This window comes from Homo sapiens, chromosome 2 (assembly GCF_000001405.40).
Source record: "Homo sapiens chromosome 2, GRCh38.p14 Primary Assembly".
Classification (NCBI taxonomy): Eukaryota; Metazoa; Chordata; class Mammalia; order Primates; family Hominidae; genus Homo; species Homo sapiens.
The window spans coordinates 148,853,845-148,872,982 of record NC_000002.12 but is presented as its reverse complement, the minus strand read 5'-3'; the positions used below and the strand labels follow the sequence as shown (position 1 = coordinate 148,872,982).

The following is a 19,138-nucleotide window of genomic DNA, read 5'->3' as shown; positions in this document are numbered from 1 at the left end:
AAAGGATGATGAGCTGGGCTGGATTCCATCTTGGTAGCCAAGGCTAATTCTCCCTCGAGTTCTTGGGAGATGGGCCTTTGGCAAGAAGGCTGGTGTTAGTGAAGCGCACCCGACGCCACGGAAAAAACTACTTTTAAGGAAATATAGCATCTATCGTGAACGTGGAAAAGTAAAGATAATTCACCATGCCTGCTGTGGCTTTAGTTCCTAAAGAACTCTACCTGAGTTCTTCACTAAAAGACCTCAATAAGAAGACAGAAGTTAAACCAGAGAAAATAAGCACTAAGAGGATTACGTCCATTCAATACTTGGAACTGCAAACATCAAAAAAGCCATTGAAGAAGCTGAAAGACTCTCTGAGAGCCTTAAACTAAGATATAAAGAAGCTGAAGTCCGGAAATAACTTGAGGAAAAGGACAGGCAGAAGGAAGCACAGCAACTACAACAAAAAAGGCAGGAAACAGGAAGAGAGGATGGTGGCACATTGGCTAAAGTTTCTTTGGAGAATGTATTGGATTCCAAAGACAAAACCCAAAAGAGCAATGGTGAAAAGAGTGAAAAAATGTGAGACCAAAGAGAAAGGAGCAATTACAACAAAGGAACTATACACAATGATGACGGATAAAAACATCAGCTTGATTATAATGATTGCTCGAAGAATGCAGAATTATCAGGATTCCTGTATTTTACATTCTCTCAGTGTTCCTGAAGAAGCCATCAGTCCAGGGTGGGTTATTGTGTAGTAAAGTGGTAAACTGTGTAGTAAGCAGTAAACTGTGGACCTTAGTAAATGTTACTACTTAGCATTCAAGCTAAATGTGATAAAGTAGTCTTTTCCTGTTAACTTTTTAAATCTTTGCCTCTTTTTTTGGGGGGGGGCAGGGCCAGAGGGGGAGGTGCGTTTTAAGAGCAGAGGTTTAATAGGCAAAAGAAAGAAAAAGGAGAACAGGGCCGGGCTCGGTGTCTCACACCTGTAATCCCAGCACTTTGGGAGGCCGAGGCAGGTGGGTCACAAGGTCAGAAGTTTGAGACCAGCCTGATCAGAATGGTGAAACCCTGTCTGTACTAAAAATGCAAAAATTAGCCGGGCATGGTGGCATGCGCCTGTAATCCCAGCTACTCAGGAGGCTGAGTCAGGAGAATCACTTGAACCCGGGAGGCGGAGGTTGCAGTGAGCCAAGATCGCACCACTGCACTCCAGCCTAGGTGACAGAATGAGACTCTGTCGCAAAAAAAAAAAAAAAGAAAAAGGAGAACAGCTCTCTCATTTTTGAGAGTGAGAGGTGCCCAAATGGCACTTCCCTAAATCTTTGCTTCTTAAAGACACACTTTACGCTTTATGAAGGTTGAAGTTACAGATTTCCTAACTTTTGATTTGGCTGTTTTCTCCTATTTGTGGTATTTAGAATCCTATCAAAAGAGAAATGAAGTTGCCTTTTCCCTCTCTCCCCAGGTGTTTGTTGACTGATTTTTCCTATTATTTTCTGTTTATAAGCATGTGAATGATATGTACCAAATTGACTAAAATTGTGAACTAATTGAATTGTTTTACATGTTGAAATTCCCTATATTATCTGTGATACAAGAGTATCCAAATACTGTGTGTGTGCTTTAAAGAGTACAGTCTCTGATGTCAGACTCTATTCAAATAATTGTCACCTACTAGCTGCATTATTTCTAGCTAGTGACTTAGCATTTCTAAGCTCATGTTTCCATCTGTAAAATGGGGATAATAACAGAACCTATCTTACAGAGGTTTCAGGAGATTTAAATGAGAAACGTTATATATATACACACACACACACACACACACACACACACTTTAGCACAGGTCCTGGCACGAGTAAGGACTTAATTTAAAATTTTTTCTTTCTTTTTTAGTAAAAAGGCCTTTAACCTATGAAATAATTTAAAGTGACTTGCATGGGTATATTGTACAGTAGAAATCATGATAGTGGCAGAGCTAAACCTCCAGATACAGGGCTATTTTCACTATTTCGAGCATTCTTATATAGATCCTATTACCTCTCTGGGTCTTAATTTAATTTTAAAATTAGGTAATGAAATCTGTATAGTTCTTGGCATATTGCAGATGCTTGACAAATGTTTGACCTGAAGCATAGAGTGCTTTGTAAATAAGCTATTTAAAAATTAGAGCTCTTGGGCAGGGTGCAGTGGCTCACACCTGTAATCCAAGCATTTTGAAAGGCCAAAGTGGGCGGATCACTTGAGGTCAGGAGTTCCAGACCAGCCTGGCCAACATGGTGAAACCCCATCTTTACTAAAAATACTTCAGCCGGGTGTGGTGGTGCATGCCTATAATCCCAGCTACTCGGGAGGCTGAGGCAGGAGAATCGCTTGAACTTGGGAGGCAAAGGTTACAGTGAGCTGAGATCACGCCACTGCACTCCGGCCTGGGCTACAGAGGGAGACTCCGTCTCAAAAAAAAAAAAAAAAAAAAAAAAAAAAGTTAGAGCTCTTTGAGGAAGACACCGTCGAAAGTGGTGCCGAGCTGTGGTCTGCCCGCTTCTGCTCCTGCTCCTGACTCACTGCTGTTGCTCTCGCCAAGGAACCAGTCGGTCAGGAAGCCACGCAGCAGCTGTGGCTTTTAAAGATACTGGAAAAACACCCTTGGAGCCGGAGGTGGCAATTCACTGAATTCGAATCACTGTTTATGAGCCACAGCTTAAAATCCCTGGAGGAGGTGTGTGCTGACTTGATCAGAGGAGCAAAGGAAAGGAATCTCAAAGTGAAAGGACCAGTTCAAATGCCTACTAAGACTTCGAGAATCGCTACAAGAAAAACTCCTTTTGGTGAAGGTTCTAAGACATGGGATCATTTCCAGATGAGAATCCACAAGCAACTCATTGACTTGCACAGCCCTTCTGAGATTAAGCAGATTACTTCCATCAGTATGGAGCCAGGAGTTGAGGTGGAAGTCATCATTGGAGATGCTTAAGTCAACTATTTTAATAAATTGATCGCCAGTTGTTAAAAAAAAATGGGCAAAGGACTTGAAAAGACATTTTTTCAAAAAAGATATACAAATAGCCAATAAGCACATAAAAAGTATGCAATATCACTAATCATCAGGAAAATGCAAATCAAAATCACAATGAGATACCACTTCACACCCATTAGAATGGCTACTACCAAAAAAAAAAAAGAAAGAAAGAAAAGAAAAGAAGTGTTGACCAAGACATGAAGAAATAAAAGCTCTTGTGCATGGTTAATGGAATGTAAAATGGTACAACTGCTATGGAAAAAAGTATGGTGGTTCATCAAAAAATTAAAAATAGAATTTCCATATGATCCAGCAATTCTACTTCTAGGTATATACCCCCAAAAAGATTGAAATCAGGTACTCAAACAGGTATCTGTGCACTTGTGTTCATAGCAGCAGTATTCACAATAGCCAAAAGATGGAAGCAACCCAAATGTCCATCAACTGATGAATAGGTAAACAAAATGTGGTGTATATATGCAATGGAATATTATTCAGCCCTAAAAAGAAGTACTAACTTATGCTACCACATAGATGAAGCTTGAAGACATTATGCTAAGTGAAAATAAGCCAGTCACAAATGGGCAAATGCTATATGAGTCCACTTACATGAGGTACCTAGAGTAGTCAAGTTCCTGGGACAGGAAGTAGAATGGTGGTTGCCAGGATACGGGAGGGAGAGGGAATGGGGAGTTATTATTTAATGGGTATGGAATTTCAGTTCAGGAAGATGGAAAATATTCTAGAGATAGATGATGGTGATGACTGCATAACAGTGTAATCATAGTTAATGCCACCGAACCGTACACTTTAAAATGGTTAAAATGGTACATTTTATGTTGTATCTATTTTACCACAATAAAAAAAGATAAAAGAAGTGAAAAACCAAAAAGAGGTGTTTTGGTTATTGAGATGATGTGTTTCCCCCTTCTCCTATTGTGTAGGAAGAATGTGGTTTGGAGAATTGTTCCCAAATACAAGAATGGGTCTTGATTAGCCTCAGTCAAACGTGACCACCCCATTCTTTTTCCCAGTGACTGGTTCAGGGATGAGCAAGATAAATGTCAAGGAGACAAAAGGAAAAGTTTGCCAAATTTTTGGAAAGAAATTGTGTTACTCTGCCTTTCCATCTCCAGCTGGAGGATAACATCCAGCTCCAATTGCTATAGGAAATACTCTATGACTTCTTGGAAAACTAGACCAGAGATGAAGCCAAAGATGCATATGACAAAAACCATGAGGCTGGGTCCTTGGTGACATGATCAAGCCACTGGGATCCACCAAAACCAAAGCCCACTGTGCTCTAGACTTCTTGTTCATGAGCCAATAAACTTGCCTGTTCTTTAAATCTTGAAGGTGGAGGACAGCAAGAGTCACAGTGCACGTTAAGTTTACGTGCCCAAAAACAGTGAGGAAGCCTGAGTGACTAGAGTGGAATTAATAAGCAATTCAGTCAAAAGGCAATTTAGGATCCAATCATGCAAAAAACTTGACGGTCAAGCCAAGGATTTTTATCATTGGACTAACCTGGAATCATCTTTGGACACAAAGCAAATCAAATAATCGTGGCAATTAGTTGGTGCTGTTGGTCTTAGACTTTCTAGATCTGCATGGTCCAAGACAATAGCTACTAGCCACAAATAGCTACTGAGCACTTGAAATGGGTTGAGTATGACTGAGAAACTGAATTTTTCATTTTATTTCATTTAATTAATTACAATTTAAATTTAGAAGGTGATACCTGATTGAGTTATTGGAAACTTTTAAGTGTGTTTAGAACAACTTGGTAAATCCACATTTTCAACTGTAAATTTTATAAAATCTAAACACAGATCAAGTATTTCTAATAAAAATTTAATGTCCATAACAAAATGAGCAGTCAGTGTAAAATACAAACAGGACTTTGAAGACAGTGTGAAAATGACTGTAAAATATTTCATTAATAATTATTTTTATTGGTTACATGTTGAAATGGAAATGCTTTGGATATATTGGGTTAAATAAAATATATTAAATAATTGAATAAAACATCACCTGTGTTTCTTTTTCCTTTTTTACATTGACTTCCAGAAATGTTTGAATTACATATGTAGCTCATGAGATATTTTTATTGAACAGCACTGATCTAGATGCCACTGTCAATTCAAAATTTATTGGTCCATAAATAACATCCAGAAAATGTACTGGTGAGGAGTATTGTGTCTTGTGGATGATCCTGGACCCTTGGACTCTGGGAAAAGTGAAAAATGGAACCTAGTTTTGAGGATTTTCCCCCATGATAAAGTCTCCTCCAGTGAAGTCTCTGCACCCCTCAGTCTGTCAGTGGTGCTTGAAGGAATTACAGCCCAAGGCAAAGACAAAAACAGTCTCCTGCCCCACCAGCTCCTGGCTGAGATGGACATGGCAGCGGTGCCAGCAGCAACAGCAGCATCGTGTTGCAGGAGGACCAGAATCCCAGAGATGCAGCAGTGATAAGATCAGACAGAGTAGCCATTCCACAGCAAAGCTGAAAGAGGGTTTTGAATGCAACCACAGAGGAGAGGTGGGCTTCCCTTGGGAGGATGTGAGACCAACGCTTCTTCCTCCGAACATGTTAAAGGAAGGTGATCCTGAAAGAGAAAGGGAAAGGCAAACCTGCTGTTATACAGGGAAAGTCCATGGGAGTCACCCAAACCTACTGCACAGCACTCTCCTCCACAAAGCCCTGCAGTCCTCACCATGCTCCAGACACTGTACATGTGCTATCAGCTCACACTCTAATATGCCCTGTGGATTTCCTCTCACCTGTCTGCCTCTCTAAATCTTAGCTATCCCTCAAGATTCTACCAAACTTTCTACAAAATCTTCCTGATTACAGAGGTTTCCATCTGGGGTAATGAGAAAGTGCTGGAACTAGATAGAGGTGATGGTTGCATGATGTTGCGAATGTACTTAATGCCGCTGAATTGTGCACCTTAAGATGGTTAAACGGTAAATTTTATGTTGTGTGTATTTTACCACAATTTAAAAAAAATAGAATTTAAAGGAATCTTTCTGAACAGCTCTAGCCCACAGGGCTCTCTTTCTTCTCAAGTCGTTGGTCCCTGTGACTCAGCATCTGATTTCTGCCTGCCCTGCAATCACTTTCATATTGTCCAATACTCTTCTCTAGTTCTTTTCACCTCACAGTATTCTTCATGCTGTTGGGGTGTGTGTGTGTGTGTGTGTGTGTATCTTGCTTCTTTATGTTGTGGGTATCATATCTTATTTACATGCTTGATAAATACTTTCTGGATGATCAATCCATATCCATCACAATCATGATAATGGCAAAGACAAATGAATCAGTAACGAACCTGAAAGAAATGATGTTGCATTGCAGATGGAGCCTTTGGTTCAGGATCCTTTATTTTTCATTCCAGGTCAGCTGCTAACAAATTTTGTGACTTTGGAAAATGTACTGAACTTCTCTGAATGTTTATTTTTTTATCCCATCTGTTGAAACGGTGCTAAAAATATTATCTACTCTTGATAAGTGAGAATGAAAAGAGAAATATTTGAGAAAATGCATTGGAAATAAAGTCTGGAAGAGGCTGTAAAGAGATCAAACGAATCATTCCCCTACCCCCACCAAGAAAACACGAGAAAAGAAAACAAAAATCCTGTATTAATATGAAATTATGTGATTATTCCAAGGTCTGGCATAATGCCAGGCACAAAGTAGCAACTCAATAAATCTTTGATACATTCGTCATTCCATTGTTTTAACAAATGTGGATTTTCGGTTGCAGAAATGAATCCCTGAGGGTCTCAGTAAATGAACCATCTGCTTCAGGGAATCATGAAGTCCTGCTACCTTGATTTTTACTCATAGTTACATTAACAGGTGTAGTAAGCTCTGCAAGGAGAGCGCCTACCTGCCCCCTCTCCTTCCTGACCTGTAAGGCCTCCTCACAGCAAGGATTTGCAGGTCCTTCAAGAGTGGTTAATGAACTGGGAAACTCACCAGCCAGCACAGGGTAAGGGTCTCAAACCTGAAGTTCCCAGCCATGATTTATTCAGCTGTCTCCACCAGCAACACTTGCACGGCCCGAAAAGCTTCGTTGTGAAGATGAAACACAAAATAGAGAATTACCTAGATCACTCAGGCAACAATGAACAGTCTCACTTTGACTTGCTTGAGGCTGGTAGAAATCAAGGCCGAAGCATGTGAATTTTTCCCAGTGTTTTCTCCCCCTGAGTTATCAGACTCATTTTCCAAGCACCGTTTCCCTCTATTCAGCCCATTCCTGGAGAGCTATGTCTGTACCCATCTCCACCACCAGTAAGAAGTGTAAATTGAAGCAATTATCTGGATTGTTCAAGGGAAAAAAAGCCTCAGACATTCTTCTGCCTGAGTGATCTGGGTAATTGCTTCAATTTTCACATCAGCTCCCCATCTTCGGCAGCCTCTGGGATAGCCATTTAACTCAAACCTTGGGGTCTGCAGGTTACCATGTGGGTCTAATCATTTCTGATTGCCCGGGCCCAGCGCCATTCCTATAAGTACAAAAAATATCTGACCCTAGTGAAGATTAAAAACCAAATGAGCAGATAAAAAATGGTTTTAAAGATGTTTAAAAATGCCTTTAAAACTTGCAGAAATAATCTGTTGCCATAGAGTAGAAAATCTGGATGTCTTTCAAAAGTTGTCACCTCAGTTCAAGACGGCCAGATAACCCAGCCTCAGTGGGGAAGAAGTAAAGATTATCACATCCCTTTAGCATGACGTTAGCTGATCAGAAAGAAAAAGCCCTTTCTCTTCCAGGAGAGCTGACACATTGACTGAGATTCATGTTGCTAGATTAAACCTCCAGTTTGGTAGTCATTCTTACTGGAAAAAAAAAAGTCAGGGCTCTGGAAAAATAAGACGGCAAAACATTGAGTCTAAGGAGGGACAGGAAAGGAGGGAGAAAAGCCAAGCTCTGTGTCCTGGTGGTAGGGTGAGGGCACCTGTGAATGAGCATTGGCAATCTCAGGGCAGCATGCAGGCACGAGGCACTGGGCCCAGTGAGGAGCTGAGATACAGGAGGCAAGGGGCTTCAAAGCCCCCTGCCTGCCTCAGGGCTGACCCCGCATGACCTGCATGTCAGCTATTCCCTCATCTTCCAGAAACTGTGTCTAATTCATTCATGCCCCCATTTGGATAAGAATTCAACATTGGTAGCTCTTCTAAACATCCACTTGCAGGGATGTATTAAGAAGTCATGTAAACTTACTAAAATGCACCAGGAAACACAGATGAGGGATTTCTATCGCACACCCCACAGTCTCCAGAGTCCCATCCCCATCATGCAGCCACAGAAGGTCCCTTTCTCTCCTGACATCCCACATCACTCTTCTCTCCCATGTCCTGACTTCCCCTGGACTCTTCCTCCCAGATGCAGACAGAGCCAGTCCATGTATCCCAGCTCTGTCCAAGTTTGCAGCCCCAAACCTATCACTGTGTTCAGCAAAACTAAAGGGTCTCCTGTAGTCACCAGCTCCATCCTCCTCAGAGGCTGTGGGAAGGAAAAATGAATAGAAACATGTTTTCCATTACCCACAATGGCAATACACAGCCGCAACCTCAGCAAATCAGTTGCTTGTAAATATGTTCCATAAAGACACTTGAGATTTCCAAAGTTGATGGGGTTCCCTGTAGAGATTCCACTTTACTTTTTGAAGCAGTAAATGGAATGGGGTTTTCTTCAACAGAAGTGAAAGAAAAATACCCAAAGACTAGAAGAACTAAACACTTGTATTAATTATCTATTGCCATGTAACAAATTACTCCAACACTTTGCAGCTTAAAACAACATTTGTTATTTCATATTGGGTCAGGAATCTGGGCACCATGTTTCTGGGTCCTGGGGCTCAGGTTCTCTCTCATGCCGCCAGGTCTGCTGTCGTCTCAAAGCTCAGCAGGGGAAGGATGTGCTTCCAAGGTCACTCATGTGGTTGTTGGCAGAATTCAGTTCCTCACTGGGGGTTGGCTAGAAGCTGCCCTCTGTTCTTCATCATGTGGGCCTCACACAGCTGTAGGCATCATGAGGAACAAGTAAGAAAGAGGGAACAGAGTGGCGAATGGCCTTGTTGAATGGCGAGCGTCTGGAGGCATTCCAGTGGCTGAATGTGATTGGTGATCTGCAGCTTCCTCGCATCCTCCAAGAGGTCAAAATGCAAATCTTCCTGAAAACCCTGACCGGCAAGACCATCACCCTGGAGGTGGAGCCAAGTGACATCCTCCAAAATGTGAAGGCCAAGATCCATGTTAAAGAGGGCATCCCCCCTGACCAGCACAGTCTCATCTTTGTAGGCAAGCAGTTAGAAGATGGCTGCACTGTTTGTGACTACAACATTCAGAAAGAGTCAGCCCTGCACCTGGTCCTCCATCTGAGGGGTGGCTATTAATTCTTCAGTCTTGCATTCGTAGTGACAAGTGATGGCACTACTCTGCACTAAAGCCATTTGCCCCAATTTAAGTTTATAAATTACCAGTTTCGGTAATAGCTGAACCTGCTCAAAATGTTAATAAGCGTTTTGTTGCATGGTTAAAAAAAAAAAAAGGGAATAAGACAGAAACCACAGTTCTTCATAGCTTAATCTCATCCATCATTTTTGCCATATTCCATTGATTAGAAGCAAGTCACTGGTCTAGCACACATTCAGAGGGAAATGGTCACACAAGGATGTAAATAATAAGAGTCATGTATCATCCAGGGCATCTTAAAAAGCTGCCTGCCACAGCAGCCAATAAGTTAATTAGTTGTTCCTTCTGGATCACTTACACTGAAATAGAGCAGAGAGTAGAGTCAAAGGATACAACTTTGGAAACAAAATAAACCCTTCCCTCAAAAAGCCTCAGTCTAGCTGGAAGATAAGCTGTAGCAAAATTAAAAGAGAAATAACAGCCATTCTAAGCAAAAACCCAAGATAGCAACCATCAAAGGAAAAAAGCAATATATTACCCCTCCTAAAAATATAAAGTTCTATACATCAAAAACCATACACAATAGTAAAATAAGACAATCAGTTAAGGATGGCTTCTGCAACATATGTGACAAAGAGTTGATATCTTTAATAAAGAATTCTCGGCCAGGCGCAGTGGCTCACATCTGTAATCCCGGCACTTTGGGAGGCCAAGGCAGGTGGATCACGAAGTCAGGAGATCAAGATCATCCTGGCCAACATGTGAAACCCCGCCTCTACTAAAAATACAATTAGCTGGGCTTGGTGGCACATGCCTGTAATCCCAGCTACTCCGGAGGCTGAGTCAGGAGAATCGCTTGAACCCAGGAGGCGGAGCTTGCAGTGAGCTGAGATCATGCCACTCCACTCCAGCCTGGTGACAGAGAGAGACTCTGTCTCAAAAAAAAAAAAAAAAAAAGAATTCTCACAAGAAAAATGACAGTTGTAAATTCACAGTAGAAAAACTAGCCAAGACCATTAAAACACAATACATAAAAGAATTATCCTGAAATACATGAATAACTATTCAGCCTCATTAGTAACCAAAGGAATACCCATTCCACTGGCAAAGATTACAAAGAATAGTGCTTGATGTTCTAAAGTATACCAGGAAGGCAGCCTTCTCTTATCCTATGGTAGCGGGGTATGTTTGTAAAATTTTTCTGAGAGGGCAACATAAATCAAAATCCTGAAAAATTTACAGGTACAGACTTCTTGCCCAAAATGGCAAAGGGACCAGGTATGCAAGCATTTGTTCTCTTAGGGGTAAAGTGGTACAAATTTGTGTGGAGACATCTAGGGAGTAAAACTGAAAAATCATGCCAAATCATTGAGAGCCTTAAACAGCAGGTCACAGTGTCTGGGTGGCCTTCAGCCAGCAGTGGGAAGTCACTAAAAGTTTGTAAATAGAAGAGTACTCAGGTAAATGAAGATTACTAAGCACAGTTAGAAACACCAATGAGATTGGAAATTCAAGGACAGAATTGGAGAGATTCTGATCACTCTTTCCATGGGATCTCTGACCCTTCCCCTTGGACTCACTGTCCAGCAAAGCCAAGCAGGTAGCCCTTCTTACCAATTGGAGACTTGGGTGAATAGCTCCAGCCTTTTGGGCTCCTTTGTTCTTTGACACTTGAGGCCCATTGGCTTTCAAGCCAGAGACAGCACCTCCCACAGGGCATGGAACTGGTATACCATGAATGGCAACAACGGAGGGGCATAATACGGGTGTGTTGGGTTGTAAACAAGAGAAATCTACTTAGGCTAGCTAAGGCAAAAAACAGAGAGGAGTTAATTATAATTCTTGAAGAAATAGGCTGGACTGCAACTGAGCTCAGGAGAAAAAAAAAAAAGCTGATAATTATCCCCTTGGAGAATTATGAAAGGGCACGTGTGCTCTCTCTTTCTCTCTCTCTCAGTTTCAGTTTTACTTCTGGACTCCGATGGTCTCAGCCCAGGTCAGGTGCCGCTGTTGGACAAATGAACTCCAACCAAGAGCAAAATCGTGTTCAGCAATCATGGCTGTCATGAGTACTCGTTTAACCAAGTGAATTGGGCTGGGGGAGGGTGGACAGGCAGGTCCAGAAAAGGGAAAACAACCATGGTGTTGCTGTGAATGAAACTTGGGGATTAATGGAGGCATGAAAGAGACCTCATCCTCTCCCCTGTGGAATTCTTCCTGAAACAGATGCTGATGCAGCAACGTTCAATACTTGGTGTCCTCCATATCACTCATTTCATATTCAATTCTACCAGAGTCGAATGCCCCTACTTTCTACTCCTCCCTGCCAATTCCCTACCTCCCAAAGACACACACAAATTACTTACTGACAGCCAGTAACATCCAGATCTCATAGAACGTTAATATGGCCATTGGCCAGCCTGCCACCAGCAGCCTCTGCTTTGGAAGCCAGCTGACCACTTGGCCCCACTGCACTGCAGATGGCTTGGAACTCTGAACATGACTTTATTTTCCCTTAAATGACCCATTCCCTTATTTATTTATTTATTTATTTATTTATTTATTTATTTATTTATTGAGACAAGGTCTCATCGCCCAGGGTGGAGTGCAGTGGCACAATCACAGCTCATTGTCCCGACTCATCCTCCCAGGTAGCTGGGACTACAGGCATGTGCTACCATGCCTTGCTAATTTTTTGTATCTTTTTTTTTTTTTTTTGAGACAGAGTCTCGCTCTGTCGCTCAGGCTGGAGTGCAGTGGCGCGATCTCGGCTCACTGCAAGCTCCGCCTCCCAGGTTCTCCTGCCTCAGCCTCCCGAGTAGCTGGGACTACAGGCGCCCGCCACCAGGCCCGGCTAATTTTTGGTATTTTTAGTAGAGATGGGGTTTCACCACGTTAGCCAGTATGGTCTCGAACTTCTGACCTAGTGATCTGCCCACCTCAGCCTCCTAAAGTGCTGGGATTACAGGCATAAGCCACCACGCCCAGCCTAATTTTTTGTATGTTTAGTAGAGACGGGGTTTCACCATGTCGGCCAGGCTGGTCTTGAACTCCTGGCCTCAAGTGATCTGCCTCCCAAAGTGCTGGGATTACAGGCATAAGCCTCTGTGCCCAGCCTGACCCACTCCCTTTTAAGAGGAGAGGGAGTAATTGAATTACCAATGAATTAATTGGATAAGACACTCTAACTCAGAAAAGAGATGAATTGTTATAAATAATACTTAAAAAGCCCAATCCTTTCATAAATAGTGAAGCTTCCAGATTCTGCTAACACAAGCACATAGTTGTGGGTAAGGCCACAGCTTGAACCCACTTGGCAAACAATTCCCCAGCCCCGTTTGAAGGACTTATTACTCCTACAATACACACATTGGCAACATTCATCCTCTTCATTCTGGTTAGTGAAAGCCAACTGTTTGTGCTGTTTCCTTGTCAATTTTTACTGGCATGCGTCTCGGTACCTCAGCAAAATGCTAGCACCAGCCCCAAAACTTAAATCCTAGGTTCTATTTTACTCTATTTAATCCATGCCATAAGGACTCAGTTTACATATACATAAACATATACAAGCACATCTCAAATAAATATCATTGTTTTAGTGTTTCCAAAAATGTATTCACTCATTTACTCATTCATTCCACAGATACCTATAAAGTGCCTACTAAGTGCCAGACACGTTCTAGATGCAGGGAATGCAACACTGACAAGACAGACATGGTCCAGGCCCTCATGTGGCTTTCATTCTACTGGAGGAGGTAAACAATGGACAAGTAAGCATATGACATAGTATGTCAAGCGGCAAAAAATGCCATGAAGAAAAGTAAAGAAAGGTGAAAGGCTAGAGAGGACTAAGGGTAGCATTCTAGTTCAGGTGATCAGGAATTAAAGGAGATTTGGAGATATGATTCAGTCCTTAAACTCTAACAGAAGAAATGTAGAAAAAAGGTACACATACACATAAACATATTTTGAAAAAGAAAAAGAAGGAACAGAGAAAGGATATTCGTTAGCTATTGCTGTGTAACGAACCACTCCAAAATTCAGTGTCCTGAAACAACCATTTTTTATTCTCACCAATCCATGGGTCAGCTGGGCAGTTCTGCTGAAGAAGCCCCAGCTCAGGTGACCTTGGCTGGGCTCACTCACATTTTAGGGGATCAGCTGGCCCGTCAGCTTGTTCTAAGATGATCTTGGCTCTTCTCCACATGTCTCTCGCATCACTCAATGAGGCTGGCTGAGATGTGTTCTCATGGCAAGGTAGAGGTGCAGGAGTGAGCAAGCCCAAGTGTGCAGGAGGTCAAGTGGGAATGTGCTTGTACCATTTACACCTCTGCTTTGCATTTGCTGACACTGGCCAAATCAAGCCACAAAGTTTTAGGGCAAAGGATGTTGTTATGGACTAAATTATGTTCCCCCTCTAAAATAATATGTTGAAGTCCTAATCTTCAAGCCACGGGAGGTAATTGAGGTTCAATGAGTTAAGGGAAGGGCCCTAATCTAATAGGGCTGTGGCTTTATAAGAAGAGAGAAAGCTCCCTCTCTCTCTCCATGCCATGTGAGGACACAGTGAGCTGGTACCTTCTCCAAGCCAGGAAGAGGGCTCTCCCCAGAAACTAACCATGCTGGCACCTTGACCTTGGACTTCCAGCCTCCCAAACTGTAAGAAAATAACTTCCTTTGGTTTAAGCCACCCAGTCGAAGATATTTTGTTATGGCAATTTGAGCAGACTAAAACAGGTGTGGACTCATGGACACCATTTATGGGAGACATCCATGCAACTATGTACAGAAGGAAGGAAGGAAGGAAGGGAGGGAGGGAGGGAGGGAGGGAGGGAGGGAGCAAAAAAGGAAGGAAGGAAAACAGAAGGGGTAATGGGGAGGTGGTTGTGTGAAAGGTTCTGGTTCTGCCTGCAGTACTCTCTTTGTAGCCTATTCTCTTCCTATCTCAAAATTTCATGCAAGCCTTAGTAATAGATTTTTTTAAAATATGTCTTTTTTAAAATTTAACTTTTAAGTTCAGGGGTACATGTGCAGGTTGGTTACGTAAGTAAACTTGTGCCATGGGGGTTTGTTGTACAGATTATTTCATCGCCCAGGTGTTAAGCCTAGAACCCATAAGTTATTTTCCCGATCTTCTCCTTCCTCCCATTCTCCACCCTCTGAAACTCCCCAATGTGTATTTTTCCCCTCTATCTGTTTATGTGTTCTCATCATTTAGCTACCAATTTATAAGTGAGAATATGCAGTATTTGGTTTTCTGTTCCCTGCATTACTTTGCTAAGGATAATGGCCTTTAGCTCCATCCATGTTCCTGCAAGGGACATGATCTCATTCTTCTGTATGGCTGATAGTATTCTATGGTGTGTATGTGCCACATTCTCTCTATTCAGTCTACCACTGATGAGCATTTAGGTTGACTTAGGTCTTTACTATTGTGAATAGTGCTCTGATGAACATACGTGTGGGTGTGTCTTTATGATAGAATGATTGATATTCCTTTGGGTATATACCCAGTAATGGGATTGCTGGGTCAAATGGTGTTTCTGTTTTTAGGTCTTTGAGGAATCACCACACTGTTTTCCACAATGGTTGAACTAATTTACATTCCCACCAATAGTGTATAAGCATTTCTTTTTTCTCCACAACCTCGCCAGCACCTGTTTTTTGTTTTTTGTTTTTACTGTTTAATAATAGCCATTCTTACTGGCATGAGATGGTATCACATTATGGTCTTGACTTGCATTTCTCTAATGATTGGTGATGTTCAGCTTTTTCATATGCTTGTTGGCTGCATGTATCTTCTTTTGAGAAGTGTTGGTTCATGTTCTTTGCCCACTTTTCAACAGAGTTGTTTTTTCCTTGTAAATTTAAGTTCCCTATAGATGCTGGATATTAGACCTTTATCAGACGCATAGTTTGCAAAAATTTTCTCCCATTCTGTAGGTTTTCTGTCTACTCTATTGATAGTTTCTTTTGCTGTGCAGAAGCTCTCTAGTTTAATTAAATCCCATTTGTCTAATTTTTAGACAAAATTTTGGAGAAAATTAGATCCCAATTTTTGCTTTTCTTGCAATTGCTTTTGGTGTCTTCATTATGAAATCTTTGCCTATTCCTGTGTCCAGAATGGTATTGCCTAGGTTGTCTCCTAGGGTTTTTATATGTTTGGGTTTTACATTTAAGTCTTTAATCCATCTTGAGTTAATTTTTGTATATGGTGTAAGGAAGGGGTCCAATTTCAATCTTCCACATATGGCTAGCCAGCTATCCCAGCTCCAGTTATTGAATAGACAGTGCTTTCCCCATTGCTTGTTTTTGTCAGATTTGCCAAATATCAGATAGTTGTAGGTGTGTGGCTTTAGTTCTGGGCTCTTTATTCTGTTCTATTAGTCTGTGTGTCAGTTTTCATACAAGTACCCTGCTGTTTTGGTTACTGTAGCCCCGTAGCATAGTTTGAAGTCAGGTAACCTGATGTCTTTAGCTTTGCTCTTTTGCTTAGGACTTCCTTGGCTATTCAAGCTCTTTTTTGGTTGCATATGAATTTTTTAAACAGTTTTTTCTAGCACTATAAGGAATCTCAATGTTATTTTTAAAATAATAGCATTAAATCTATAAATTGCTTTGGGGAGTATGGGCATTTTAACAATATTGATTCTTCCTCTCCTTGAACATGGAATGTTTTTCCTTTTGTTTGTGTCCTGTCTGATTTCTTTGAGCAGTGTTTTGTAGTTCTCATTGTAGAAATCTTTCACCTCCCTGATTAGCTGTATTCCTAGTATTTTATTCTTTTTGTGGCAGTTATGAATGGAATTGTTTTGGCTTGACTATTGTTGGTGTATAGGAATGGTAGTGATTTTTGTGCACTGATTTTTTTTTAATTCTGAGACTTTGCTGAAGTTGTTAATCAGCTTAAGGAGCTTTTGGGCCAAGACTGTGGAGTTTTCTATATATAGGATCATGTCGACTGCAAACAGGGATGATTTGCCTTCCTCTCTTCCTATTTGGATGTGCTTTATTTCTTTCTGTTGCCTGTCCCAATACTATACTGAGTAAGAGTGGCAAGAGAGAGCATCAAAAGGTGTCTTCTCATTTAATAGAGTTTGAGGATACCTATAGGCTTCCCTGCCCTAAAATATACATAAAAATATAAATTGACTCTAAAAAGCCACTTTAATATGCTTTGACTCAAGTTATTGCAAGATCCTATTCAAAAGAAAATGTGCCTTCACTCATTTAATGAGATTGAGCACAAGACTTTGCCCTAGGAAATTATACCACATTTCTCTAAGGACTCTTCCAATTCAGAAAAATAAATTATATTCTTGCTACCATGGGAGCTACTAAGGTAAGCAAGACATGATTCTTGCCTTCCTGGAGTTTACCATCTAGTGCAGGAACAAAGACGGGAAAAATTGTATGTGTTCATCTCTGAGATGAATTCTGGGCTTTCCTACATATATCTGGAGGAGTGGACCTGTGGCAGTCACAGGGTAAGGCCATGACCTTGCAGGAAACTTGCAGGGTGTCCCCTGGGAGTGGTGGGGTTGAAGGGGGCACACATGTCTACTGTCAGTGCCCTGGAAAAGGGAGGTGAGCCTTGGGCAGGTGGGAGAAAGTTCCACCTTCTCCCTGGGCCACTCTAGAAGCCCAAACTTCAAGGGTCCAGTGGCCGTGGGACTTGAGAAAATGAAGCCCTGTTGTTGTAAGCCCCTATAGAACCCAAAGCCCAAAGCCTCCCCCTACTTTTTCTTCTGGCATTAGAAGTAAGGAAGGAAGGCTAAGGAGTGAGTATTGGCATCAGGAGAGCCAGCTCACCAAGGAGTGGTGGTGTATGCCTGAGTGCCCCAGGGAAGGCCATGCGCTGGTTTCCTCAGCTCTGGGCCCTGGCAGAGTGGCTTTCATATATGCCCACTCTATGGCACTCCCTCCATACCTGCCAGACTGCAGGAACCCACTTGGCCCCGGGTGCTTCCTATGTTGTCTGCACTTGCCAGTCTTACATCGCCAGAGAAAGCTTTACAGGCAGGCAAGAGGTGCATACGATGGACAAGGCAATGTATCTTAGGTTGATCTTCCTAGCAGCAGAGCCTGAGAAGGGGATTCCTGCAGAGACATCTATTGGAGAGTCAGGGAAGCAGGAGTGTGGGAGAGGGCAGGGAGGGTGTGGGCTCTCCAGGAGGCCCAGGAGGAAGCTCCCCACTATCTTAGTCCATCTGTGCTGCTAAAACACAATATCACAGACTGGGTAATTCATAAGGAACAGAAATTCATTTCTTATAGTTGTGGAGGCTAGGAAGTCCAAGATCAAGGCACTGGCAGGTTTTGTGTCTGGTAAGGGCCTTCTTGCTGTGTCCCCACATGGCAGAAGGGATGGAAAGGCAAAGAAAGGGGGGTGAATGCTGTGTCCTCATATGGCAAAAGTGCGAGAGGGTGATCCCTTCAACCTTGAGCTCTTTCACAGGCACTAATCCATTTATGAAGGCACAACCCTTATGACTTCATCACATCCCAAAGGCCCCACCTCTTAATACCACTACAATGGGGATTAAGTTTCGACACATGAATTTTGGAGGGGACACATTCAAACCATAGCAATCTCCTCGAGGCCAAGTGATGGCTTTCTGTACCCCTGTGTCAGTCAGTCATGGACTATGTGCTGCCCCCTCCCAGGTGGGATACTTCATTCTATGCTCTTTGGTGGAGGACAATTCTCTAGAGAAGGGAGCGGCTAGGAGCTGTTAACAGTCAATGCTCCCAGCAGCTAGGGGAGAGGTGCACAGGCTGGGAAAGGCTGTCTGGGTGGGGCACAATGACATCTGCAATGGTGGGACATGCTCGGCAGAGACAAGGACCCACATGTGTAAGGAGCATGTCATATTCAGAGCTTAGGGCTGCTGGGCTATAAACTGCAAGGGTCTCAGTGAGCACTAAGTGAGATGACACAGGTGAAAATACCATACATCCATAAGACATCAGCTAAATGTCCCATATCTGTATTTTTCACAGAGTTGATGCACAGGACCAGGTGAGGCACAGCAGACATGAAATGTTACTGTATATAAGCTAGAAAATCACTGTGTAAGTGCTAATTATTTAAGATAGGTTTTTGAATGAGTACATTCAACAAGCATTTATGGATTATGTACTGTATGCCAGGCTCTGTACTAGGCACAAGGGATATGGCAGAAACTAATACAGCCTTGCTCCATGCCCTTCTGGAGCTGATGGTCCAGTGAGGGAAACAGACATTACACAATGACACAAATATCCGGAGGAGTGGACCTGTGGCAGATATCGCAACTGTGGTGAGTACTTTGGAAAGAAGGGTGCAGAATGCTAAAAGACACCACTGGTACTGGTCCAAGAGCTGAAGAAATCTAGGACTCCCTGAACTAGGGCCATTAAACCAAGATTGGTAGAAGAACAGGTAACAGAATGCACAAAGGCCCTGAGTGGGTTTTGTGGAAAAAAACAGAAGATTTGAGTCTGGAGCAGGCAGAGAGGAATGGGACTGAATAGCTCAGGAAGTGAAGAATGAACCATGGAGATTATAAATAAATAAATATATATATGTATATGTATATACACACACACACACACACACACACACACCATGGAGATTTGATTTTATATATATATACTAATACTCTCAAAAACTGAGACTTGTGATTCATTTACTTCCTCTTACCTCCTGTTGATGACCAGCC

General features: G+C 42.2%; 1 long non-coding RNA gene and 3 pseudogenes across 1 annotated transcript; 3 read left to right on the top strand and 1 right to left on the bottom strand.

The window, feature by feature from the left end:
* On the top strand, positions 11–727 carry USP8P2 (USP8 pseudogene 2; annotated as a pseudogene).
* Positions 2,477–2,995, top strand: RPS20P13 (ribosomal protein S20 pseudogene 13; annotated as a pseudogene).
* Positions 9,149–9,556, top strand: UBBP3 (ubiquitin B pseudogene 3; annotated as a pseudogene).
* LOC101928526 (uncharacterized) lies at positions 13,481–17,897 on the bottom strand. The gene is made up of 2 exons (XR_244868.1): positions 15,139–17,897; positions 13,481–13,784 (listed from the first exon to the last, which is right to left on the bottom strand). It is a non-coding gene; the product is annotated as an uncharacterized LOC101928526 (long non-coding RNA).
* Positions 17,898–19,138: the final 1,241 nt, after the last annotated feature.